At 39.9% G+C, this 27,742-nt stretch overlaps 1 protein-coding gene and 2 long non-coding RNA genes across 8 annotated transcripts in view, besides 3 other annotated features; 2 read left to right on the top strand and 1 right to left on the bottom strand.

Annotated features, from left to right (window-relative positions):
* MAGI1-AS1 (MAGI1 antisense RNA 1) overlaps positions 1-19,397 on the bottom strand; it is a 31,482-nt gene extending 12,085 nt beyond the window's left edge. Inside the window, exon 1 of the long non-coding RNA NR_046575.1 lies at positions 19,296-19,397. This is a non-coding gene — a long non-coding RNA (MAGI1 antisense RNA 1). The remainder of the gene's footprint in view (positions 1-19,295) is intronic.
* Positions 1-27,742, top strand: part of MAGI1 (membrane associated guanylate kinase, WW and PDZ domain containing 1) — a 685,393-nt gene that overhangs the window by 125,706 nt on the left and 531,945 nt on the right. The window lies entirely within an intron of this gene.
* Positions 1-27,742, top strand: part of MAGI1-IT1 (MAGI1 intronic transcript 1) — an 81,745-nt gene that overhangs the window by 41,346 nt on the left and 12,657 nt on the right. The window contains exon 2 of the long non-coding RNA NR_145422.1: positions 10,405-10,616. This is a non-coding gene — a long non-coding RNA (MAGI1 intronic transcript 1). The remainder of the gene's footprint in view (positions 1-10,404; positions 10,617-27,742) is intronic.
* Positions 9,521-10,420: an enhancer, noted in NCBI's record as "H3K27ac hESC enhancer chr3:65888468-65889367 (GRCh37/hg19 assembly coordinates)". NCBI's record gives its function as "activates a minimal SCP1, AML or CMV promoter by ChIP-STARR-seq in primed H9 embryonic stem cells {active_cell/tissue: H9 hESC(primed)}" and the evidence as "EXISTENCE:reporter gene assay evidence [ECO:0000049][PMID:30033119]".
* Positions 10,421-11,321: an enhancer, noted in NCBI's record as "H3K27ac hESC enhancer chr3:65887567-65888467 (GRCh37/hg19 assembly coordinates)". NCBI's record gives its function as "activates a minimal SCP1, AML or CMV promoter by ChIP-STARR-seq in naive H9 embryonic stem cells {active_cell/tissue: H9 hESC(naive)}" and the evidence as "EXISTENCE:reporter gene assay evidence [ECO:0000049][PMID:30033119]".
* Positions 11,645-11,939: a silencer, noted in NCBI's record as "tiled region #7664; HepG2 Repressive non-DNase unmatched - State 19:H4K20". NCBI's record gives its function as "represses a minimal TATA promoter and a strong SV40 promoter by Sharpr-MPRA in HepG2 cells {active_cell/tissue: HepG2}" and the evidence as "EXISTENCE:reporter gene assay evidence [ECO:0000049][PMID:27701403]".

Genomic DNA, 27,742 nt, shown 5'->3' with positions numbered 1-27,742 from the left:
TGCCCACTGCAACCTCTGCCTCCTGGGTTCAACCTCCGCCTCCTGTGCCTCAGCCTGCTGAGTATCTGGGATTACAGGTGTGCACCACCACGCCTGGCTAATTTTTGTAGTAGGGTTTTCACCATGTTGGCCAGGCTGGTCTCGAACTCCTGACCTCAAGTGATCTGCCTGCCTTGCCTCCCAAAGTGCTGGGATTATAGGTGTGAGCCACTGCGCCCAGCCCCTTATGGCTTGGTAGTATTTAAAGAGATCAAACTAGATAAAAGTTTACTTTATTCTTCATGATGTCTGATAGGTTGTTTGCTGATATAGGTGCTGTGTCTGGTTTTCCTTTCATGACTTGTACCTAGTGTAGCTATTTATAGTGTATTTGACAAACTTTTCCACTTGTAGACTCAGGTAGGCCTGCTTGACCTCCTCTGGGGATATTTGTTAATGTCTTGTCAGAGTTGATAAAATTTTCCATGTTCATGCTTTCTTTTGATTCTCATAATAATCTTCTAAGGTAACTAAAAAAGAATCCTTATTTTCACATTTGATTAAGGAAGCTGGTCCTAAGAGATTAAGTCACTTGGTCAGGGTCTCTTGGTGAGGTACTTAAGTGAAATTGGTTTTCCAGGTGCTGGTCTTCCTTTTCCAAACTAATCCTACTTTGCGTGTGACCTGAAAAACATTTTTTTGTTACCTGTTTTTGTTTGTTTAAACATGTACTTGTTTATTAGACGAAACAGGGAGCCCAAATAAAACCAGATGTGAGCTGCTTTTAACCATCCCTGAATCGTAATGATCCATGTGTGAATTATCCCTTTGTAGCTAGTTTTTAATCCCAGACTGGGCTCTTCCAGTTTTTCAGCCTGCTGTTCAAGTCTCCCCAGCCCCTGACTTGGTTTTGTCAGAGCAGATTAGAGAGAAATTCTACAGTGCGAGAACACGATGTGTATGATTTAGGAAGCAGAACTCTTTTTTTTTTTTTTTTGAGATCAGAGTTTTCTTTGTTTTCCATTTACCTGAAGTAATGCATTGTTTCATTTAAACTTAAATAGCTTTCAAGATTGGGTTCATGAACATGTCAGTGGGCAGAGTTTCATATCTAGACTCGAGAGATGACAAAATAAATATGTCTAAGATAGAATTATTTTCACACCTGCCTTTTCCCTTTCAAGTTCTATCATCAGTGATTGAGAATTTAGGCTTTCAAGGGCACACTTGGATTTAAATCTCAGTTTGTCCATTTAGTAGCTGTGAATGCCCTTGGGCAAGTTAATCTCTTTGCCTTGGACTGGTTATCCTCCAAATGGGATAACCCTACCTATAATGAGGAATGAAATGCAGTAACGAACAGGAAGCCACTAAGCACAGTGCCTTACACAGAAACTTTAATAATAGATAAAAATATTTGTATCACCTTCTGGGTGCCAAGTTTGATGCTAGGAAATAATCCAATGGGCTATAAAAGTATGATTTGGTAATTTGTTTGGAGCATGGGTAAATGAAAACAGTAAGAATACATAATAGGCTTATATAAAAGTTTTGAAGAGAGAGCGGTTATGCTGTTGGGGTGTGGCTTTGAAGGGCTTAAAAATAATCAGGGGTGTTGAGTTTTGATCCCAAGGTTTAAGAATGACTTTAATAAGCATGCAAGTTAGGATATAGTTTGGTCCTAAGTGCAAAAAAAATCTACCCTGAATCCACCCTAAGCAGAAAATAAATTTGTTGTGAACAAACAATAGATACATGGAGCAGTTTACAGGATCTGAGAAACACCTGAAAAATGGGATCAGAAAGGTGGACGCTGGGCAGCTCTGGGGCTGCTGGTGGAGGGAGCTGAAGCCACATCTCTGTAGAGCGTCCCCCGGAGGATGAGCCAACTCCAACCCTTTTCTGTCTTTTTCTGCTTGAGATTCAAATTCCATGGACAAACGTTCAAATGTCCCAGTTTGAGTAAAATGTCTAAACCAGCCTATGGAGATAAGTTATTTTCATTTGACAAAACTGGGTTGCTTCTATCAGAAATGGGGAAAATAGATGTTGGATAGCAAAAGTCCACCATGTCCAGGCCAGGCGCTGTGGCTCACTCTTGTAATCCTATCACTTTGGGAGGCCGAGGCAGGCGGATCGCCTGAGGTCAGGAGTTCGACACCAGCCTGACCAATATGGTGAAACCCCGTCTCTATTCAGAATACAAAAATTAGCCGGGTGTGCTGGCGTGCACCTGTAGTCCCAGCCACTCAGGAGGCTGAGGCAGGAGAATCGCTTGAACCCAGGAGGCAGAGGTTGCATTGAGCCAAGATCATGCCACTGCACTCCAGCCTGGGCTACAGAGCGAGTCTCCATCTCAAAAAAAAAAAAAAAAAAAAGTCCACCATGTCTGAAAGAGGCCTCAAGGTAGACACCCATCTACTGTGTTGGATAGGTGATGAGCAGAGATTTAACTACTAGGTCAGGACCTTCATGTCGAGAAGTAAAATTAAAGAGGTATTTTGGGATTATGGCCTGAAAGTGATAGGAAGCTACTGTAGAGTTTTGATGGAGGTTGGGGGCACTCGTTTCTAACGCAGGATGTTTTAAGTAAGTAGTTCTTTAATAAGTAGTAGTGACTCTTTTCTCAGATTAGATGATCACTTTCCCAGCTATCTCATGCTTCCATGTCCTCCATCGTATCAGTGTTTGGCATGGTGCTGCCCCAACAACCACTTCGATTAGTATGTAAACAGGAAAGCCATTTGCAATGGTGGCGTACTTTATTGGTTGTTTTTCAGTGATTGATTTTCAAGGGTGCTTGTTTTTCCTCTGGAATATGCATTTGAAAGACTTGTGTATTTTCAACAGTACAGCATTGCATTTATCCTCATTTTTAAATGTGTTTTCATTGTGATAACTTTTTCATGGGGGGATAAAAGATCTTTTTCCAAATTTGAGATTCTCAATTATATCTATCTCTTAACAAAAGTACTCTGTAACTCTTCACTTTGGCAGCCTCAAATACTTAAACATGTTTATTGTTTTATATTCAGTTATTTAAGGTAATATTATCCAAACATAGACAGAAGGTTATGAGCTAGATGAGGGGTCCCCAACCCCCAGGTCATGGACTGATGCTGGTCTGTGGCCTGTTAGGAACTGAGCCGAACAGCAGAAGGTGAGCAGTGGGCAAGTGAGCATTACTGCCTGAGTTCCGCCTCCTGTCAGATCAGTGGTGGCATTAGATTCTCATTGGAGTGTGAACCCTGTTGTGAACTGCACATGTGAGGGATCTAGTTGTGCGCTCCTTATGAGAATCTAATTAGTGCCTGATGATCTGAGGTGGGACAGTTTCGTCCCCAAACCATCCCCCACCCCTGGCCCATGGAAATATTGTCTTCCACCAAACCGGTCCATGGTGCCAAAAAGGTTAGTGATCGCTGGTGTAGATACTATCTGGGTTTGATTATCTTGCTTGGAATCCCCACATCCCTGAAATAAAGCGGGCAGCAGCTAATTTACATTCTTTTCTTTTTACATTTTTTTAATTTTTGGGGATACAGGGTCTCACTCTGTCACTCAGTCTGGAGTACAGTGGTATGATCACAGCTCACTGCAGCCTTGACTTTTTGAGCTCAAGTGATCCTCCTGCATCAGCCTCCTGAATAGTTGGGATTATAGGCACCCACCACCACACTGGCCTAATTATTATTTTTTGAGACAGGGTCTTGCTTTGTCACCCAGGTTGGAGTGCAGTGGTGTGATCACGGCTCACTGCAGCTTCAACCTCCCAGGCTCAAGCCAGTCCTCCCACCTTGGCCTCCCAAGTAACTTGGACTACAGGCATGTGCCACAACACCTAGCTAATTAAACAATTTTTTTTTTTTTTGTAGAGATGGGGTCTCAACTTTGTTGTGCAGGCTGATCTTGAACTCCTGGGCTCAAGTGATCCTCCTGCTTCTGCCTTGCAAAATGTTGAGATTACAGGCATGAGCCACCATGCCCAGACTATATTAACTCCTTAAAGGTGGGCTATGGAAATAATGTTGATACTAGCCCTTCAGTGATGGTGTCAGTACGGGAAGAGAAAATTTATATACTTGAGTACATTTTGAGGGTAGCTTCATGAGGCACTGTGAGCAAAGGCTTCTGGTAATGAGAATACTCTACCTGGTCATAGACACACCTTAACTTGATTCCCAATTGTGCATGGAATTGGCATTATAAAAGACCATCCCTAGAAAATGGGTTATTTGATCACAACTAGAAGTCATTCTCTATATTTTAGAACCATAAATTTATGACTTTTATTAAAAAATTGACTCATGTCAGCATTACATGCTGAGAATAAGCAGACTTCTGAGTGTCTGCCCCACTGTGTTGCAGATTGAAATGTAGACTATGAGTGGTCATTATGGTTAATGACCAAGAGAGTCCTCTAATGATAAGGCATGCTGGAGAGCTGCCCCAGGAGTCTGTTAGAAAGGCTGATCCACATTTTCCAGAGGGGAAGTCGGCCAGGGAGTCCTAATATCCTTTACGCTGGACAGCTCAGATACTAGTTTTTACGTAGCTGATTTTTGCAACCTCACTTATTTCATGGAGAGAAAAATATAGAAGATGATTTGCAGGAATTAAAAGTTGTTTCATTCGGAAATAATAAGGATTGGCCGGGTGCAGTGGCTCACGCCTCTAATCCCAGCACTTTGGGAGGCCGAGGCGGGTGGATCACGAAGTCAGGAGTTCAAGACCAGCCTGGCCAAGATGGTGAAACCCTGTCTCTACTAAAATTACAAAAAATTAGCCGGGTGTGGTAGTGGGTGCCTGTAATTCCAGCAGAGAATTGCTTGAACCCGGGAGGTGGAGGTTGCAGTGAGCTGAGATTGCACCACTGTGCTCCAGCCTGGGTGACAGTGTAAGACTCTGTCTCGATTAAAAAAAAAAAAATTAAGGATTATTGTGGACAGTATTGGCAGAGAGAAGAGTGTTCAACACCAGGAAAAAGAGGTTGGTGTTTTGTTGTTTCGTAGACATTTTCTGCGTATACTACCTTTGAATGTTTCTTATTGTGTGGTGTATGTGAGCTAGCAAAATATTCAATATTTGATGTCTTCTGTTATTTTGGATTCATTTATAAGAACTTTTCCTTCAGGGCATGTTTGTTTATGAGTGGCGTTTGGTGTATTTCTTGTGTTAACTTTGATTCTTTTTTAGTTGTGTTCGTGTGGTATTTGCATGCTCCATGAATCGTAAGAATTTCAGATAATCATAAGCACTAGAGAGAAAGTGAAACAGAGGGATTCCACAGAGAGTGATGGAGCCGGGGTAACACGTGACAGGGGACATTTTAAGTTGAGACGCAAGTATGAGGCCAAGTCAGGCAAATGGATACTGGGAACAAGAATGTTTCCTAAAAAGCCAGTGACAAACACCAAGACTCTGAGGCAGGAACAAGCCTGAAAAGACCATCAGATGCTTGAGAAGGTAGTTGGGGTGGAGAAGGAATAGCCTCAGGCTCACAGGAGGTTACTGTGAAGTCACCTAGAGGGAGCTATGGCAACTCTGAATGAGAATTCAGAACTGGGCATCTGAAAACACCAGATCCACTGAAGACTTCAACCTGAAAAAGGTAAAGTCTTTTGGTCATTTCCAGAAGGCAGTGGATTCCTAGATTTTTAACCAATCTGTGCTTTTGCTTTTAATGTGCCCGTTTTACTTCCAACGTTGCTTATATTTCCATAGCCAAAGCTTTACTGGCTGAGTTGTTGTAAGTTCCAGGGAAGGCGGGTGTGGGGGGATAAGTACTTTGCATGTGGTGACTTTCAAAGGATTTGACAGCAGAGACCTGGGTTTAAGTCTTGGTTTTGTCACTGACAAGCTGTAGGACTTTGAGCAAATAACTCAGCCTTACCAGGTCTCAGCCTGTGAAAAGGATAATCTCATCCACCCACTAGAGTTATCTCAAGGATCCATGGGAATAACATATATGTTAATAAAATGTTTATTTTCAATAATACTATGCATCATGCTATATTTGAAACCAAAGGGAGTTAAGCAGTAATATTTTTAGCAATTTGAAAAATCTAATTAAGGGCTCTCCTTAGGCAGTAGAGTAGAATTCATGTTAATTTTGTCATCGAGCCATTTCTTTTTACAAATCCTTAGTCTTCACCAAGTGGAGTGTTTTTTTTTTTTTGTAAACAAGAGGCAAGATTTTTCTCACTGAATTTGTGGATCAATGCTAGAGACAAAAGGGAAATCTCATTTCTCTACCACTGTTCAGGTCCAGAAGTACATTGTCAAGTTCTTTTTCTTTTTTTTTTGCCAAAATTTACTAGGATGTCTGTAGATTTTTTTTTTTTTTTTAAGACAGAGTCTTGCTCTGTTGCCCAGGCTGTAGTGCAATGGCGTGATCTTGGCTCACTGCAACCTCCACCTCCTGGGTTCAAGCAATTCTCTTACCTCAGCCTCCCTAGTAGCTGGGATTATAGGTGCCCACCACCACGCCCACTTAATTTTTGTATTTTTAGTAGAGATGGGGTTTCACCATGTTGGTCAGGCTGGTCTCTAACTCCTGACCTCAAATGATCTGCCCACCTCAGCCTCCCAAAATGCTGGGATTCCAGGCATGAGCCACCACACCCAGCTAAGATGGCTGTATATTTTGATTTTGATTATTGAAACTTTTCTTTGTCTTTGGCATTTCCCTTGAGAGTTTAATGAAAACATTGACTTTTGTGGATACTTTTGTGGAGGGCAGGAATGGGCCTGGAAGAAAGGTGGGGGTGATATCCCCTGGGAAAAGAAGCCCACCCATTGCATCTTCCCCTTGCTGTGGTTCAGCCCTGTATTAAACTGACCAGTGGACATGCTGCCCTTTCAGACTGGGCTGAAATTCCTTCCCTGCTCCCATCTGCCTGCCTCATCCTAACCTCTCTTTAAGCACCCAGCCCTGGTGCTTCCTTCTTCATGGAGCTTTTACGTGCTATTCCAACCCACATTGATGTCTCCCATCCTTGAATTCACTTCAGACCATCAGTCTCCCTTTCCTAGTTTAGTCCTATTTCGAGTAATATATTCTTTTTATTATTAGATGCTACCATTTTCAAGATGTGCCTTCATAGTAACAGTATATTTTCAGGGAGAAGAATGACACACTTCTGCATTATTAGCTAATGGAAAACACATGCTCAAATATAGTGATGTTAAAGAAACCAAGTGAGCAAAAGCAAGGTTATGTTTTTAATAAGAGAATGCCTTAATTGTGGATAAACCATCCCAGAAACTCTTTTATTTCGGTATTTTAAAAACACTTGGAGAACTCTTTCTTATATCCGGAAAGCACCACAAAAATCTGTCAGATGAAAAGTCTGTTCTGATCTGTGTGGTGCATTCCTGCCTAGATATGTAGTCATTTACTACTGTGTAGTATAATTTGAGTAGAGTGCAGTCCTCAACTAAGTTGTTAGACTACATTTTGTCCTTTTTCTGTAACTTCTGAGTAGTGTACTCTAAATTTGCTCTGTAGACCTGAGCTGAGGTGCAAAGTCTGTTTTTGTTAACCTGTGCACAATGGTATAAATATAGAAATTGAGACTTAGAATTTAGAAATGTAATAGTAATTGGCTGAGTGTGTAATCCTAGCTCCTTGGGAGACTGAGGTGGGAGGATCATTTGAGCCCAGGAGTTCAAGACTGATGTGGGCGACAGAGTGAGACCCTGTCTCTAAAAAAATAAGAAAAAGAATTTTTTTTTTTTTTTAAGGCAAGGTCTTACTCTGTCACCCAGGGTGTGTACACCACAATGCCCAGCTAATTAGAAAAAAAAAATATTTCATAGAGATGAGGTCTCACTAGGTTGCCCAGGCTAAGAAAAAGAAATGTAATTGCACAAGACAGTTGTCTATCTGTTGAGTTTAATAATTAAAAGTTGGGTCTTGTATTTTGTAGGGTGTGCTTGTGTTTTTTCTGGTCATTAATTTTTATTATCTTTTGATACTTTGGGAAATAAGAAACAGCTGGTCCTTTCTCACAACTAGTTTGAGAAGCAGTGCTCTAAAACAGTAGTTCTCAACCCTAGCTGAATATCATATCATTTAAATCACATAAACCAGATTTAATATCAATTAAATCAGAATCTTGGGGATATAGCATAGGCATCAGTATTAGTGTTATTCTTATTTTTAGTATAATTTTTAAGCTCCCCTGTGTATTGTAATGTGGGGTTCTGGTTAAGATCCCCTATACGGAGTACCTAATTTTGTTGAATCATATTGATTTCCATTGCAGAGAAAGTTCCAGGATGAGGCGTTTTCTTGTCCTGTTACCTGCTTAAGCTTTGTCTCCAAATGCTGTCCAAAGAGGGGATGGGCAGCCTCAAGAGGCAGTCACCACCTTATGTGCCTGGTCACCCTCCCCATGTGGCAGGTGCTGCATCCACATAATGACCAGCATATGGCCCTGACCTCCTGGAGCTTCCAGTCTAGTGAGGAGAGGGAGGCAGGCTGTAAACAATTAAACTCTTCACTATTTTGTCAATGATACTTGTGAACTGAATGGTGGGTAGGTGATCTGTCTTAGCCAGGGTGGTCTAAGACCTGGAGAATGAGAAAGCCAGAGATAGGATTGATGGAGAAAGGGCATTCTGGGCTGAGGGATGGTGGAAGCTACATCCTAGAAGTGGGCAGAGCTTGGAGTGTTGGATGAGGGTAGGTCTGGGGTAGAACAGTGGGAGCTGGGTTGGGAAGGGCAGCAGAGGCCGGGCCGCAGGGCCCTGAAGGCCGTGGTCAGGGTTTTGGATTTTGTTCTAAGGGCAGTGGCCATTCACTGGAGGGGTTTTAGCAGGAACCAAGTTTCCTGTCACCCAGTTTGATATATCAGAGGGTGGATGTCTCTTTGAAGATGTGGTAGGTGAGAAGGGGCCTGAGATTGTGTGACCTTATCACCCTTCTAATCCTGAGAGTCAAGCAGGCAAAACAGAAACTGACATAGGGTTGGTCATTCCAGGCCATTCTTGCCCTCATGGGCTCTCCTTGCTGCATATTTTGTGAAATATCAGCCATCAGGGTAGTGGTGTCTCATTACTGTCTGGAATTAGTTGGAAAGTTGAGAACTGAATCAAAAAGTTATGGCACAATCTTGACAGCTTCCTCAAAGATTAAGTAGTCTGTGCTCCTTTCTAATTTGCTAGATTTACATGGTTTTGAGGAAATTAGAATGATTTTCTTTCTTTCTTTTTTTTTTTTGAGAAAGAGTCTTGCTCTGTCACCCAGGCTGGAATGCAGTGGCACGATCTCGGCTCACTGCAACCTCCACCTTCTGGGTTCAAGCGATTCTCCTGCATCAGCCTCCCAAGAAACTGGGACTACAGGTGTGCACCACCACACCTGGCTAATTTTTGTATTTTTAGTAGAGACAGGGTTTCACCACATTGGCCAGGCTGGTTTTGACCTCCAGACCTCAGGTGATCCTCCCACCTCGGCCTCCCAAAATGCTGGGATTACAGGTGTGAGCCACTGCGCCTGGCCTAGAATTATTTTCTGTGCCTGATTTTAGGCAAATCGAAATAAGCACTTAGGAAGTTTGAGTAAATCAAGCTGACTGGCAAGGATAAAAACAAAACCTTTCAGAAAGTACCTTCTTTTCCCTCTGTCTTAGGGAAACTGATCTCTGGAGAAGGTGTGTGTACGTGCAGGCATGCGTGTATGTGCGTATGTGTGTGTTGCATTACATTTGATAAGAACATTTCATGAGTGCTCTTTGTGTGTCAGAAATTTCATTCTTATGCTGCCCTAGGAAGTAGGCATTGCTGTTATCCTGGTTTTTTAAATGAGGAAACTGAACTCTAGAGAGAAGTTACTTGCCCACAGTCACACCTGAGTTAGAAACGGCATCCAGGATACATACCCAGGACTCCTAGTCCAAGCTTCCACTTGCCACTCCTGTACTAATATTAAGACTTCAAGCTGTGGTGGCTTATGCCTGTAATCCCACCACTTTGGGAGGCCAAGGTGGGAGGATCGTTTGAGCCCAGGAGTTCAGAACCAGCCTGGGCACCATAGAGACCCTGTCTATACAAAAAATAAACAACATTGGCTGGGAGTGTTGGTGTGTGCCAGTAGTCCTAGTCCCAGCTGCTTGGGAGGCTGAGGTGGGGGGATTGCTTTAGCCTGCGAGGTTGAGGCTGCAGTGAGCCGAGATTGCGCCAGTGTACTCTAACTTGGGTGACAGAGTTATACCTCTCCCCACCACTCCCCCCAAAAAAGACTTTGAGCTGAGAACCCCTGCTGATTTTTACTGGATTGACCTTGGTGTTCTCATTCTAGCCATTTAGTGACACCTATGACCCTTTCATTCTATTCCTTTTGATCCTTAATTTCTGATTTTGTTAAAGCTCCTTAAGGCAATTTTCATTTTCTCTCTGCTTTCCTGGTAATGTTGGCAGGGTGATGCTGCTGATCTGGTCTGATTCCCAAGCTGGAGGTAATGGCGTGTGTCCTGCCCTAGTGCTGCTCCCTGATGGGGAGCATGCTCAGTTTCCTGCATTCAGGTACGAGCAGAGACTTGGCAGGATCCGCCCCGTTCAGAGTTGCAGGAAGAGCCCTGGATGCCTGTCGCAAATTGGAATAAGTGGGAGGGAGCCACAGGCTGGTACAGGTAAGAGAGCTCAAGCTCTGTCTTTTCACAGCTAAAACTTAGCCCTTCTGCTGTGATTCTTAGGAGGGCCAGGGGTGCTTCCTGCAGGAATGAATGACTTGTAGGAGCTTACTTTACATACGCAAGGGGCTGGGCTGTGGCTGCCTTCTCAAGTTCTCAAGTCCGTGTCTAGGGGCTGCTATCTTCCTGAATTGCTGCGAATTTTACTGCTAAGGAACCATCTTGGCTGAGTTTGTTTTCATTCTACTATATGAGGTTGGGCTTGCATTCAGACTGGGAGCAGTCTGTGGCTTCCCTCCTTGTCAGATACTTTGGAGGTGGGAGCAGTGTTCAGGAACCTGATTCTCTAGGCAGACACAATTGCGATGTGAGAGTTTTCTCTCTCCTACAGCTTTGCTTGTTTGTCTCCCTCGTATTTGTAAAGCAGTAAAATACCAACCTGTAAGATTATTGTTTAGTAAACATAAGCAAATCCAGACATTTATTCCCTACTATTGCTATATTTAGAAATGATCATTAATCCATATCAGAGAACTCTCACAAATATATGTTATTTTTGCATTCCTTAGCGTTTAATAAATATCATGGGGAAACATTAAGAAGTATGTTATCCTTTTGAGGAGACCAGTCTTGGTAGTTCTTTTTGTGTAGTGAAAATGATGTATTAAAAAAAATAATGAATTTTAAAACCTCGTAAGTATTTTCTGCAGCAAAATAAGGATGTACTTGTAAAAGTGCTAATTATTGGAACCCTGTGGGATAGCAGGCATTTGTGAGTTTTTAGGCATTCTGGGATGTATACATGCAAAATTGTGGAGGGTGCTGAGGAAATGAGAACAGTAGAATTAGTCTATACAAAATTTGCCTTTTTCGCAGAATCTGGGGATTGGACCAGAGCCCCGATATAACTTGAACAGAAGTTATTTGTGTATGTAGATAAATGATTTTCACCGTTCTGAAGCTTAACAGAAATATTTTCAATAGGGAAAAAACCTTGCCGTTGCAGTTCTTTATTTTCCACAGCGATAGCAAGCCACAAGTGAGAGAATGTTTTTAATTGAAATCACATAACTTCATCTCAGCCAACTTCCAATTGCTTCCCCTTTGCAGCGTTTTGCCAGAGTTTCAAACAAGACTGTACAAGAAAGGAAAAGAATGTGGTATTCACAGATACTAAAACATTGTAAAAACAACGCTCATATCTCCAGCCAATTTCGTCACCACGTGACTCTCACCCTTCCACCGAGGATGAACAGAAATGTCATCCATACACTTTCTCTGAGCTCCCAGTCTCTGGTCTGGGCCTGCATGGTGGATTCCTCATCATTGGAAAGACCACCCTGGGCTATTTTGCTCTTCCTTTTGTGTGGCGTCATCTTTTATTTTTTCCTTGTCTCTGGATTGTTTTGGTTAGAGAGGAATAGTCTTTATGTTGGGCTCTGCGTTGCAAGTAGTATAAATGCTCTTGAGCAAAAATAAAAAGAGGATGTTTACTGTAAGGGTATCTGAAGCATACCCAAGGTAAGGGTTATCCAGTGTAGGCCAGTTTTGGAAACACCCCGGGACTAAGACTTTGAACCTTATCAGGTTTTTCTGTAGGTATTTTTCATTTCCTGCTGAATGCGCTCTTACTTCATTCTTCTGTTCTCTCAAAATAGACTGATCTGCTTCCCAGAGCCTGGCTGTCCACACTCCTAGCATATACTTCTTCCTCTCAAGGGTTCATCCAGACTGAAGCTGGAATCTCTTAGTTCTGATTGTAAATACCAGGGAGAAGGATTCTCAATGGTTCATAATAGGTCAGATGTCTGCACCTGTGGCCAGCGTAATGGCGTTCTATGCGAAAATGATGGCTGAAAGTATGTCTTTTGTAACCTATAGGGGTAAGAAAATGGCTAGAAGACTGGGGAGACAGGGTATTCATCTGGTAACCTGGTGGTGTTCACCACAGTTGCCTTTTTGTGTTTCTTTGTGGGGCCTCTTACTAACTCCCTCTTCACGCCAATTTCAAGTTCATCAAAACCTAGTCAAATGGTGAGTATTTATATGTGTGGTGTTGGACAGACAGATATGGCTAAGTAATTCTGTACTAGTATATTATGATTAAGTGAACATTTATTGAGTGCTTACCATATACTAAGCCCTTTTTCAAGTCTAACACTAGGCAAATAATACATGACTCTTTTAATTTTTGCTCACACCTTTATCACCTCTTCCCAATTATAACACTGTGTTTTCTGTCTACCTCTTACACATCATGTTCATTGTAGTGAGTGAGAAGTTATCTTGAAGGTTGGTTAGTGATGTTGTGACTTTTACCTTTTATGTCCTGGGTGATGGATGGGATTTTTAAGAGTTAATGAGTCCAAGGATGCCTGACATAGGAAAGACACGATGTTGCGTGTGTCCTTGCAATAACGTGCAAAGCAAGACGATGGGTGTATACTGCCTATCTCTTGTCCCCAAGACAAATCCATTAGTGTAGAAAGCTCGTTTTTTTTTTTGGGTCCAGGTAATTGTAATCATGGGACACATGATAATGTAAAAGCTAATCTGAAATTCTTTTGGAACTTTGATTACTCCCTTTGATCTAAGTATGTAAGTGATTAACTGCAAGATATGTGAAAAATGTTCCTTTCCCCTCATCTTTGGAAGCAAGATCTGTATTTCTGTGGGTGCAATGCCATCTTAGCACTCTCACTTTGGACTTGACCAAGACTTCTATGGTATCTGAAAAATTAGTGCATCAGGAAGGGTTTATTTTAATTTGGGTTCCTTAATCCAGTTTTAACTTTATCCCCCTTTGAAAGTCCCATTCAGAATGTAAGCAAGTTAGCAGAAGTATATATGAAACTGTATTAGATATATCTTTGGGGCTCCATATGTATGGAGAATTAACATTGGCACCAAGGCCCTTGCTGCAAATTCATTTTTCCAGCATAAAACATGAGAATAGGTCATAGTTGTTCTTTCTGTTTTCAGCTCTCTTAATTTTATTCCCCTGGTATTGTTGTCTGTAGGGATTTTTATCCCAGTTATGTCACAAAAGGATGGTAGTGTTTTGCCATGGTGGCATTTCCATTATCTGTCAGCACCTCTGAAATGATCTCAGTTTTTTCTGAGGTTGACATTTCCTCCCCTGCCTTCCTGTGATCTGTTTTCATTTCTTGATAAGTCTGATTTCTTCAGCGGAATGGTCATAATGGGACATGTTATTAGTAAGAATTGTAAAGAGAAAATGGACCTGAGTAGTTATGAACTTCCTTCCTCTGATGACTCTTTTCCTGGAGCTGAATCCTCACATTTTACTTTTTCCACTGTGAATGTATTTTCTGTTTTGAAAGATATCCATTTAGAATATATTACTTAAAACACCTTTAGGCTGGGCGTGGTGGGTCACACCTGTAATACCAGCACTTTGGGAGACTGAGGTAGGAGGGTTGCTTGAGCCCAGGAGTTCCAGACCAGCCTGGGCAACATGGCGAAACCCGTCTCTACAAAAAAATTAGCTGAGCGTGGTGGTGGTGTGTGCCTGTAGTCCCAGCTGCCCAGGAGGCTGAGGTGGGAGGATCACCCGAGCCTGGGAAGTTGAGGCTTCAGTGAGGCAAGATTGTGCCACTGCACTTCAGCCTGGGCTGCAGAGTGAGACCCAAGTCTCAAAAAAAAATTTTTTTAAATTTTCTTTAATTATTTAAAAATATATTTACTTAAATTGACAAATAATAATTGTACATATTCATGGGGTACATATGATATTTTGAAAACATATAATGTATAGTGATCAGATCAGGGTAATTAGCATATCCATCTTCTCAAACATTTATCATTTCTTTATGTTGGGAATGTTCAATATTTTCCTTCTAGCTAGTTGAAACTATACAATATATTATTATTAACTATTACTTTGCCTTTGGTTGCTGTCATTTTCATTTGCTTTTCTATGTCAGTATATTTTGAAGGACTTTGTATACTAAGTGTTTCAAAATAATAGGAACTTTTGTGAAATGAGACATAGCAAATGAAGGAGCCATGAACTTACTCCTATTTTCTATACCTGTCAACAATTTGAATTTCAGGGTTCTTTTGTTTTGTTTTGTTGTTTTTCTTTATTTGTGTATATAATTTTTTTACACGTACATATGTACACATACAAATGAACAAGCCTGTGTGCATTTAATTTTTACAAGTAAATGCCTACTTTTTATGATGCCACACTAAACTCTTCCATATTACTGCCTTTCCCTAGGGTTTTGTAAAATAGTGCTTTATCTCCAAGCTACTACCCAGCCGCCTTTTATTTAAAGTGTTCAGTGGACCATTATTTGGGATGAATAAAAATTCGATGTTATGCCACAGAAAGGTAGGATTTTGGGGAGAAACAAATACAGGAAACAGGTGGAAATAGATACATTGAGAAGAATCCTTTTGAGCAGGGATTTTTGTAGAAAACATTAAACCAAATCGTATATCAAACTCTCTGGCTGGTGGTCAGTCTAATCACAAGCATTTATTCTTAAGTGTCCTACAGAGAGAAAAAGCTGTTTATGGCTGTATCTTGAGTTAAATATTTGGATTTGGACTGCAAGTTAATTTTAGGGAGAAAACATCTGTCTTTCTGAAAACAGTATGCCTTTAAAAGTGATCCCTGTGGTAGAATGTTGTTGAAATGCTTAAATGCTTTCCATTAAGTTTTTTTTTTCCCCCCTTTTCCTTTCTTTCTTTTTTTATTTTTTTTGGACAGGATTTTACTCTGTTGCTCAGGCTGGAGTGCGGTGGTGCTATCATAGCTCACTTCGGCCTCAACCTCCTGGGCTTAAGTGATCCTCCCACTTCAGCCTCCCTAGTAGCTGGGACTGCAGGGGTACACCACCATGCCTGGCTGAATTTTAAAAAAAAATTTTGTGGAGACAGGTTCTTTTTTGTTGTTGTTGTTGTTGTTTTTTAATTATACTTTAAGTCCTAGGGTACATGTGCACAACATGCAGGTTTGTTACATAGGGGTACATGTGCACAACATGCAGGTTTGTTACATAGGTATACATGTGCCATGTTGGTTTGCTGCACCCATTAACTCGTCATTTACATTAGGTATTTCTCCTAATGCTATTCCGCCCCTGCCCCCCACCCCACAGCAGGCCCCAGGGTGTGATGTTCCCCACCCTGTGTCCAAGTGTTCTCGTTGTTGAATTCCCACCTGTGAGTGAGAACATGCGGTGTTTGGTTTTCTGGGAGACAGGTTCTTGCTGTGTTTCCTCAGCTGGTCTGGAACTCCTGGGCTTAAGCTATCCTCCTGCCTTGGCCCCTCAAAGTGTTGGAATTAAAGTCCATTAATTTTCTAATGCAAAAGAGTGTGGTACATGTTTATTACAGAACTATTAGGAAGAGCTAACCCAAAAACTCACCTGTTTTTCCACCTATCAAATATAACCAGTTTTATTCTTTAGTGATGTACTAAATATAGTACAAATAAAAAAACAGTATAACAACTATTTACATAACATTTGTATTGTATTAGGTATTATAAGTAATCTAGAGATGATTTAAACTATACAGGAGGATGTGCATAGGTTTTATGCAAGTACTGTACCATTTTATATCAGAGATGTGAGCATCTGTGGATTTTTGGTATCCAAGGGGATCCTGGGAACCAATTTTTCTCGGATATGGAGGGGCAATTGTATTATTCTAGTTGTATTATGTGTAGGTGTATAAAATCAAAATTTATATTGAACAGTATACATTTTGTTACTTGAATATTCATTTCCTGTGAAATCATGAACAGGTTGCCATGTCAAAGAAAAGCCTCACCTGCTTTTACACTATCATTTTAAAGTTTTACTTAGTATTTCATTGTATGGATGTATACTGTCCATATTATTGTTGGGTATTTAGGTTGTTTCCAGTTTGTTTGTTTGTTTGTTTGTTTGAGACGGGGTCTCTGATGCCCTGCCTGGAGTGCAGTGGCACAATCATAGTTCACTGTAACTTCAAACTTATGGGCTCCAGCGATCCTCCTGCCCCAGCCTCCTGCATAGCTGGGACTACAAGTGTGAACCACCGTGTCCAGCCAGTTTTTCATGTTTTAAACAACTCTTTGTTGAATGTCCTTGTAGCTAAATCTTTGTCCACATGATTCGTAGTTTTCTTGGACAAGCTCCACAGATGTGATATTCCTGAGTCCAAGGTTTTGATAATTTCAAGTCGTTTTTTCTTCTTCCTAAACCACATATAACTAAATTGTCCTCGATTGATAACCTTCCTGTCAGCCATGGGCATGGTTGTACTTTTTTTTTTTTGTCGTGATTACTGCTGTTAGTGATAATAATAAAAATACTTATTATATACGCTGGTGGGTTTCAGTTTTGACTGGGACTTCAGTTTTCTTCCTTGTCTGAGTCCTGTTACTTATGCCTGAATTTAAAGTGAGTGGGAACATTGGCCTTTTGTCTATTGCCTATAGGGAGAAAAATACCGCAGTGGGTGGAGATTTTGGTCTGGCTGGGGGCTTCCCCATGTCAGCCAGGCTGTTAGGTACTATTGAGCTGGTCCTTGCAGCATCACTTCTTGAGGTTTACAGAGATGCAATGGTAGTGGGTCAGCCTGTATTCCTCTCCAAGCTGGGGGCAGGGGCGCTGAGTGAGTGTTTCCAACAAAGAACAACCTGGGTATCTATCTGCTTGTAGGCAGCTAAGGAATGCTGAATAATTAATAGCTTTCCAGGGAAATATTACTTGCTATAGTTGAATATTCTTTTGGATTTAATGCCAGCTATAGTTTGATGATTGAAAAGTCCCTTTGAGGAAAAAGTGTTTAGAAGCAAATATATTGATGGTACTGATAAATACTGTTTTTCAATGTTAAAATGGAGGGTAACTGACGTAAGTTTGGATGGGGCTTCATCATCTCAATGACTTTGATTTTAGCCATTACTGTGCACTTGGCACATGAAACTATAATGAATTTAGGTTAAGTTATTCCCTTTGATACAGAAAGCTGCCGGATAGATAGATGGTCATTGATCATATAAAGAGTCTTTGTAGGGATTTGGAAAGAAAAAATTAGATTATTGTTTGAAGACAAAGGTAGTGTCTACCATGCCTTGCCTTCTCGAATGAATTGTAGTACTTTTGAGAATTCTGGTCTCTGACCCTGAGGGTGGCAGTTTAATTTCTGAAACCTGAAGGTGTCACACAAACTCAGACCAGCAAATTGCCTGTATATTTCACATGTTGTGTTCCTTAATGCCCATGGTTAAGACATTGAGTGGAGAGAATAGGGGCTGGAGAAGAGGTGCTGAAGTTTTGAATGGGGGACTCTGTGTGTTGTACTAGCTGTGAACCCGTCTAGGGAACAAGTGCTGACACTGCCCACTTAGAAGAAGACACATTTGTTAAAGAAGTACAGTTGCCTTTATGTCTGGCATTTTAGTTAACCAGTAGCAAAATAAAGGACTGATGGATTTATTATCAGATTATGCCCAACCATGCACATATTGCCAAGTCCTCCATGAACATCACAGATATCTAAAATAAAAGAGACGTTTTTATTTGTTTTAATAAATAACATTAGCTAGCACCTCCGTTTCCAACCATTCAGTCCTGTTTGGAAATGCCACAGTGATGGGTGTGTGTTATTTTGAACTCATGTGAAGGTTCCATGACAACGGTAAACATTCATATTGCACATTTTCATAAGGCAGTGAATCTGGATGAGGCAAGTGGCCTCAGCCGGCAATAAAGATGTGTTATGAAATTTCCCATGCCAGAAGAGACACTCATAGCTGGGATTGGCCTTTTCAAAAGCAGTTGATGGTGATGAGTGATAACTCCCCTTTTAGTTTTGGCATCAGATGGAGTTTGTAGCTCATTGGCTTCATTGTGTTGCCTGGGTATCTCCTATTTAGACTTAATTGGATGGTTTGCACCACTGTCCTAGGTGGTTGCTAGTCTTTTCAAGGACTATCCTTACTGAATACTCTTGGTATTGTATTTCTCTTTTCTTACACGAATCCTCAATTACAACAACAAAGAAAATGCTAACATTTGACATCACTGGTAAACTAAGAATGCTTTAGATTAGGATTTCCATTTGCTGCCTTTCCAAATTTGATAATTTATATTTGGATATCCTTTTAGCATATTTTTGGTGGAATGGTTCACTTTATTATTATTTTTAAAAGATGGATGTGTCCTAGCTTTCACCAAGGAACAACTCAGTTTAGATGGAATGTTTTATAAATATGATGTAATGGAAATTGAACAGGATTTGGAGTCACAAGGGCCTGTGTTGGCATCTTAGTGCCATTATTTATTGTGTGACCTTGGGCAATCACATAGCCTTTCTGAACTTCCATTTTCTCACTAGTAGGTAGGGATGATATTATTGATTGTTATTTAGGGGTTGTGGCAGAAATTATGCTGTTCTTACAACTTTGAGATTCTTTCCATAGGGAGGCGGGTAGTGATGTCTCGTTCCTTCTTTTTGTATGGAGGGGTGGCCATGTGATTATGGTGGAGCAGTGCTGTGAGACTTCCAAGATAGGGTCATAAAAGGTGGTATAGCTTCTACCTGGTTCTTTTGGGACACTTGACTTTGGAAACCAGCTAGGAGGCTGCAGGGGAGCTCAAGGAGCCAAATGGTGAGGCCACATCCAAGTGTTCCAGGGGAGGTGAAACACACCTGAGGTTTCAGATGATTCTAGCCCTGGGCCATTGAGTTGCCTGCAGTCTTCCCAGTGTAAGATTCAGACATCAGGAAGCAGAGACAAGCATTTCAGCTGTGCTTTGTACAAATTCCTGACTCACAGAAATTGTGAAAGATAATAAAATGATTGTTGTTAGTTTAAGCCGTTATATTTTGGGATGATTTATTACGCAGCAGTAGATAATTGTAATAAAGAAATCATGAATTCAAATAGTAGTTCTTCTTCTAATTTTGCATACTGTCTTTACCACTTAGTAACTGTGTAACCTGGGGCAAAATTTGTAATTTCTTTGTGTCTGTTTTCTTAATTGTAAATGGGACTCGCGTAATTCCCTCTGGACTTCTGATGAGAATTAGTGATTTAATACTTGATACGCTCAATAAATGTTGCTTGTCATTATTTTCTATTAAACTATATTGTTGGATTTTTGAGAATGCATGAAGAAACTTAACGTTAATTGTGTTTTGATTTTTAAAGGCGTTATGTAAATTTTGTTTTGTGCTTTTCTCCAGGCAAGAAACCGGTTTGAATGTAATTTTCATGAAATGAAAAAAAAAAAGAAAAATGAATAGTAAATCTGATGTTAGTATCTGCCATTTATTTCACATTTTTTTTTCTGAGGTTGTATATGTCTGGGAACCTTTGGCTTTGCTTGGTAGAAAGAGGACTAATGACTCCAATTAGAGGACATCAGTAGAGAAGAAGGGATGAAGGATGGGAGATAGGAAAGAAATCTTATTTTCAGTAACTTATGTGCCAGAAACTGCACTGTAGCCTTTTACCAGTGTAGCCTTCTTAGATACTCTGAGAGAGATAATAAGAGAAGAATGGATTGTTACTTAATTTTTATCGTCCCTGAAATTGAGGTTGTTAGTGTCCTTCTCTGGTGTGTTACCTGGGGAAAGGAACAATGATTGCAGTTTTACTTTCAGGCTAAAAGCTACAAATCTGAGCTCACATTTCTGTTTGTTTCTGCCTCTGACCCTGGGTGGCTTTGTGACCTCTCTAAGCCTCAGTTTCTTCAGTTGTCAAATGGGTCTAATAGTGTTTCCTATTTCCTGTCATTGTTAAAGAAGAGCCCATGAGAATCTGTTTCCTAACCTAGCTTGGTCATAAGAATGATTGTAATGCATTTTTTAAAATAATGGGACCCATCCCAGAGCTACAGAATTAGAATTTCCAGGGATTCTGTGATTAAGTGCCCCAGGTAAGTCTTACTGTTAGGCTGATTTGGGAGACATTAAAACAATGTGTAAAGTTGAACAGTTAACACCTAATACATAAATGTTAGCTGCTGTTATAATTATACTTAACATTAATTTAATGTTTTAGGTAAGTTCTTTTATATACGTTCTTTAGATTTGCTTTGGTAGGTTTTGATAATTTCTAAAAAATAAACACAAGAATGCCTTGTATGCCACTTAATAAAATGTTGGTATGCCACTTAATAAAATCTGATTCTGCTATTATTATCTTAAACAAAATCTGATTCTGCTATTATTTTATGTCCATCAAAAAGTTATGCAAAGTTTTCTCTTTTTCTTTCCTCTCTGAAATATAGACGATCATAACTAAGTTAATGAGTTTCCTCCCAACCTTTCCTCTTGAAGCTTAGGAGGACCATGGATTGAGACATCTTTTTCTGTAACATAATTAAAGAAAAATAGCTTCACAGTTAGGGTCACTGAACCTTGAGGGAATTTGCCCATTGGCTGCCCATCAGGCTGTGATCAGAAGTTTTCGTGTTATGTGTTACATAATTAAGGATGGGGAATAGCTATTTCAGAGACTCTAATTAAAGACTGTGTTCTCTATATAATGAGTATCTATAATGAGTTTTCTGTATAAAGTATCTATTTAGAACAATATGGGAGGGGGTGTATCTCATTGTCCAGCATAATCCTATAATAACTGGTTACTTGTCACAAATTTGAATTGGAGCAACACGGGTATATATATATATATATATATATATATATATATATATATATATATATATATATATATTATACTTTAAGTTCTAGGGTACATTTGCACAATGTGCAGGTTTGTTACGTATGTATACATGTGCCATGTTGGTGTGCTGCACCCATTAACTCATCATTTACATTAGGTATATCTCCTAAAGCTATCCCTCCCCCTCCCCCCACCCCACAACAGGCCCCAGACAACAGGGGTTTGTATCCCAGTCTTCCAACACCTTAGGGCTATTGTCATGCATGTTGCTTGTCAAGTATTTTGCTGAATACTTTGGAGTATGGTTGCTTTTGTCACCCTTGGTTATATTGTGTATCACGTTGACTCCTGCAAAATAGTGGGGAAAAGTAACCTTGGTAATGTATAATTAACTTATGAAGTAGAAAATACTTCTGTCCCTTAATCTAACATTTTAGTTTGTTGGGGCTTATTGTGCTAGCAGCCCAGGCTTCTCTTCCCGTTGTGCTTTAAGGGTTTTATTGATGGTGCTTACCTAAGTCCTAGTTCAGTGATTGGTCAGTGATGGGTGGTAGCGCCTGGCATATTACCAGATTTGTAATAGGTGCTCAGTAAATGACTTCTTACCATTACAGTTATCTGTCTCATTCTTTAAAGAGCAAGTAGTTGTCCATGTTACAAACCCATTAGAATAGTTTTTTTCTTCTTGTTATTGGTTTCTTTCTTTCCTTTTTTTTTTTTTGTGTGTGTTTTTCTGTGACAGGGGCTCACTCAGTCGCCCAGGCTGAAGTGTAATGGCGCACTGCATCCTCTGCCTCCTGAGCTCAAGCTATCCTCCCACCTCAGCCTCCCAAGTAGCTAGGACTACAGGTGCATGCCACCGTGCCTGGCTAATTTTTGTAATTTTTGTAGAGATGGGGTTTTGCCGTGTTGCCCAGACTGGTCTTGAACTCCTGGCCTCAAGCAATCCTCCTGCCTGTCAGCCTTCACAAAGTGCTAGGATTAGAGGTGTGAACCACTGCCCAGGCTGGAATAGGTTTTGTTGTCTAAACAAACGAGGCGATACATTTTATTTTTGTTTTTCTTTCCAAGTTAATGTTTTGTGCTGTTCCAGCTGTCTATTGACAAGTACAATAGGAGGAGTTCAATCAATGTAGCTTATTGGGATAGTTCTAAAATTGGAATCTGGGTTGCCATTCCAGCTGTATGACTGGCCTTGGGCAAGATCCTTCAACCATAGTGGTTCTCAACTTGTACCTCTTATAAATGGATGGGCTGATATTTTGTGACTTGTTCAACTCCTGAGTTTTTGGCTATGTGAATCTGCTCGTTCTTTTAAAGAAGTGTTTGCGTTGGATGTGGTGTTAAAGTTGGAATGTTCTTGCAAGTCCTTTGGGAAATTTTGGTCCTTGGATCTGTGCTGGGCCTTGTTCAGACATGAAATGAGAAAAATATTGTTGAATTTTATAAAGCTTAATGTTTTGAAGTTGGATGCACAAGAACATGTTTCTGACCTCCTCGGTGTGTGTGTGTGCCTGTGTGTGAGTTGGGAAGGCATATGATGAGTTTTTTTGTTTGTTTGTTTTTTGTTTTGAGACGGAGTCTCGCTCTGTCGCCCAGGCTGAAGTGCAGTGGCGCTATCTCTGCTCACTGCAAGCTCCGCCTCCTGGGTTGACGCCATTCTCCTGCCTCAGCCTCCCGAGTAGCTGGGACTGCAGGCGCCCGCCACCACGCCCGGCTAATTTTTTTGTATTTTTAGTAGAGACGGGGTTTCACTGTGTTAGCCAGGATGGTCTCGATCTCCTGACCTCGTGATCCGTCCACTCGGCCTCCCAAAGTGCCGGGATTACAGGCGTGAGCCACCGCGACTGGCCGGCATATCATGAGTTTTTAATGTCATCTGGAGCTAAAAACTGGTTGCCCACTTTTATTTTTTTCTGTGAACAGCATGAGGTAGACATTAAGATAACAATCTGTTGAAAGGCACAAAGCTTGCTTGTGTGCTTTGGCTTTTATAAGGAACACTGCAGTGACCATCTTCATACATGTGGCAGCATCCTCATGCTTCTCTGTTGTGAACACATACCAATACATTTCTGTATATACCAGTACATTCTGCTTATCTTTTTGGTGTTGGCTCAGGTGGCTCCCCCTCCAGGAAGCCTTACCTGACAACCCCCCATGCCCCCATACTATGAGTGTAAATTTTCTCAATATAGTAGCTCTCAATAGATGGTAACTGACATTATTATTTTCCTTATTAGTACAGATTCTTTCACTGTTGTGTTACTTACTGTTATGTTAAGGCCTCCCAAGTTAAACTCCTGTGTTGCACTGACTTTGGAATGCAGACTACTGTTTCTGGCAGCAGCTTTTAGGCGAGTATTTCTCCCCTGCCTCACAGATGTTCAAAAGTTGGTTGGCATGAGCTTAGAATTTTTTGAACGTCACCAGTGGTATTCAAGAATAGTCATTACTATGACTCATGATGTAGCTGAATAGAGGAGAGAACAGAGAATCATGACTCTGTACTGAAAATGTTGAGTGTGTCGCTAAGCCCAGAAGAGAAAAGTCTGTGCAGATACAAAATATGTAGCAGCAACTGGTCTTCTAAAAAGACAGAAACAGAAGGGGTTCTTGCCTTTTTAAAGTGATGGATCTTTCCCATCTCCTTGCCCACATTCTCTCCTACATATCAGATGATTACTTTCTTTGCTTATTTAATTCAGCCATCTCACTCTGACCCATGGACATTATATCAGCCAGGTCAACTGAAGGATCACTCTGGATTAGTGTGGTGGTTTCAGTCTTTTAGAGGCTATGCTTCAGAAAGTTTCACAGATGCTTACTTAATATTAGTTGTACTTTTAGCGTCTCTTGGTTTTGGAAAACTGCTATGAATCTGATAATGAATAGTACTAGCCTATAGAGGTCATTATACATTATATCTTTGTAATATTATATTTGTTACATATGTATACATACACACATATATAAATATATACATAAACATACACACATATATGGCATCTGTATATTATAGAAAATACTTTTACTCACATTTTTTTAGCGCACAGATAATTTCTGGTGTACCTGTAGAATCCCAAACCCCTTGGAATAACCATTTTCCATCTGTCAGATTTTGTGGTTCATAGTTTTTGGGAGCATTGAATTGGAAGGTCTTGGGCATCCTGGCCAGTCTTCTGGCTTTTTTCTTTTTTTTAGAAAGGAGAAATTAAAGCTTTTAGTTCTTTAAACTCAGTATTTCATTTTTGAGTGTTTAAAAAAAATCTTAAAGATTCTTAAATGTGTATGTACTTGTGTATATGTGTGTGTTTAAGACTTGTGAATCCAGTTGCTAGTTTTAATTCTAAATCTCCTTTCATTTCTAATGTCATTAAAAATTTTATCCCATTTACTACTTGTATAATTTTATTTTCTTAACATCTGCCAGTGGTAACTTGCAATGTATTCCAACATGTTTTTCTTCTTAACGTAGCCTCATAGGAATTCTTTTGGACATAAAGGTTTATAATGGGCCTCTTGAATACTTTGGTTGCCAATGCTAGACATATACTAATTCCCTGCTCAGTACTTCCCTTGGCTCTGACTCTGAAGATGAAAGACATAGTCTTCCTTTCTCAACCTCTCCTTGACTATTCTTGTGCTTTTGTAAAGTTATTGAGATGGGTTCTGATGCTTCATATGGCTTCTTAGATTTTAAGTCCTGTCACCATTAGGAAAAATCTGTTCTAGGAATGTTTGAAGTTCAGGGCCTTCACACACAATTATGTAGCAGCTTTCTTACCATCAGGTTGGATAGTGGGAATTGTTTTCACAGTAGAGAGAAGGTAATTTCGCTAATCAACTGGGCACCTTTTATAAAGATTGGGTTTTGCTGATCTCAAAAAATCTTAGTTTGGTGATAGGTTCTTTATGAAACACAGAATATACCATATTGAACTAATATCAACTTGAATGATACAGTCAGTTATTGAGAGTGTAATATACAGGTTCTAATAGTTGCTAACGATGAATATGATGTTAATGTTTGTTTTATGTGCATGATCATTTAGGATACTGTATCTATGCTGTTCTCTTGTGTGGAAATAAATTCAATGAATAATAGGTCACTCAGTAAGTGAGATAATGGGCAATGTACCATATCCTCATGTGGTCTTGAAAGCTTTAAGACATTGATCGAAGCTCAAAGATGAACTGACTTACTATCCAAATTGAAAACACTGTGCCTTAGATAATAGTGGTGTCCTATGATTGTGAGCTTATTAACGTCCTAACCAGACATAGAATTTTTATTTTTCTGTCTCTTTAGTTTTTCATGAGTTTTATGTTTACTGTCTCTGTCTAAGAGAAATTGTGGTATTTGGTAAAGGTAAGGAAGTTAAAGAAATAGATACAGGTTTTATGGTATGTTATAGTTTTTTTTAATGCACAGTAGAAGTTACAGGTTTATGAATTTACATCCCAGAATTCAGAAGGCTGTGGTTTTATTTGTAGATAGAAATCTTATTTCCCCCTCTTGCCCCTGCCCTTTTTTTTTTTTTTTTCTGGTATCAGTCTGCTGTACAGAGTTCTAATATGTGCTTTATTTTTGTAGTTTTTGTGTATTACTAAAGTAATACATGTTTGTGGCAAAAATTCAAATAAAACACAGGAATATAAAGTAGAAAACTAAATTTTTCCTGTTATCTCCTTCTGTTCTCAACCTAAAATTCTAATCCTCCAGAGGCAACCAGTTTGGGATATATTTTTTCAATTTTTCTATACAGATAAAAATATGCATATGATCTTTGGAATCTTTTTTTGAGATGGCATACATACTTATTTTACTCATGTCTGAGAATCTTGGTTTCAACTTAGACTATTCTTAATCAGTATTTTATATTTATTTTAAGTGCACCTTGTATTTTATGAGTTTGCACAGAAGCCTTTGACATTAACTAGGTACTTTATTTTCTTAAATTATTAAGAAATGACAGTGGTGTATACCCATTCTGAAATGTTTTTTGGAGAAGAGATGTGTAGGATCAGGTAGGAGAAATTAATAGTTTACTGGTTCAATACTGGTTATTTTGTTCAAGCTTTCTGTGTATCAGCCAACATATAGGTTTGGCTGCATTAGCAGTTACCTCAAATCACAGTGGCTTCAATATAGTAGAAGTTCATTTCTACCTTATGTAACGGTCTAGCCATGTAACAGTCCTACGCTACTGTGATTCTGCAAGGTTGGGGACTGAGATTCTGTCTCATATATTGCTCTGTCATTATAGAGATATTGTCCTCCTGTGCATTCTGGCTAGTGAGACGGAGACAAGAGGAGAGCAGGTCTCTTCTCTTCACAGACACGGCTTGGAAATGACACACTGTGCTTCTGCTCACATCTCATAAGCCAGACCTTGCTCGTGTGGCCATAACTAGCTGCAACAAAAGCCTTTAATGAGGGCAGCCATATGCTCAACTGAGAGTTTGGAGGAAGGGGAGAATGTATTTTTGGAGGTAACTCAGTCTTTGCTGAAGATCATGCCTTTATTATTTTTTTAAAAAGAGAATCTTGAGACACGCTTATTTGAGATTAAATGAAAAATCCCTTTGATGTACCAAATGAAAAAAAATTGCTATTTAGAATATTTTCTTGTCCTCATCCATTTATGCAGTTTGACTGTCAAAAAATACAACATATAATCTTGCTAATAATAGGACATTTACATATGAACTTTCTGTGCAGAATTGGTGTGAAACAGTATCTTATTAGGTAATAAAACTATGCAAAATAGGGAGATACGGAATATAAGAGCCTATTTCTCAATGGAATGAAAGGTTGGCCCATTACAGTTCTAAACTTAAGTATATAGCACATTATTCTTTGTAAGGTGATTTTTGCTTTCAGTTATACTTGTTTGCATAGTTAGATAATATAGATAAATAAAACTGTAACATCTCCGCTCAGAGATAACCACCATTCAATATTTGATTTTTAAATAGTATTATGTAGTATGAGTGTATATGTGTGTATGCATGTATACACATGCAGACAGATGCCACCTATAAGCACATGAGCATTTATTGTATAAATTATAACCATTTCGTACTGTGTTAGTTCGTTCTCACGCTGCTAGTACACACATACCTGAGACTGGGTAATTTATAAAGGAAAAAGGTTTAATGGACTTACAGTTCCACATGGGTGGGGAGGCCTCATAATCATGGTGGAAGGTGAAGGAGGAGCAAAGTCAAGTCTTACATGGTGGCAGGCAAGAGAGCGTGTGCAGGGGAACTGCCCTTTATAAAACCGTCAGATCTCATGATACTTATTCACTATCATGAGAATAGCATGGGTAAAACCCACCCCCATGATTAAGGTACCTCCCACTGGGTCCCTCCATGACATGTAAGGATTAAGGAAGCTACAATTCCAGATGTGATTTGAGTGGGGACACAGCCAAACCATATCACACACTCTGAGTTT

Source organism: Homo sapiens, chromosome 3, assembly GCF_000001405.40.
Source record: "Homo sapiens chromosome 3, GRCh38.p14 Primary Assembly".
Taxonomy (NCBI): domain Eukaryota; kingdom Metazoa; phylum Chordata; class Mammalia; order Primates; family Hominidae; genus Homo; species Homo sapiens.
The sequence above is the reverse complement of the archived record's forward strand: the minus strand, read 5'-3'. Positions and strand labels throughout refer to the sequence as shown.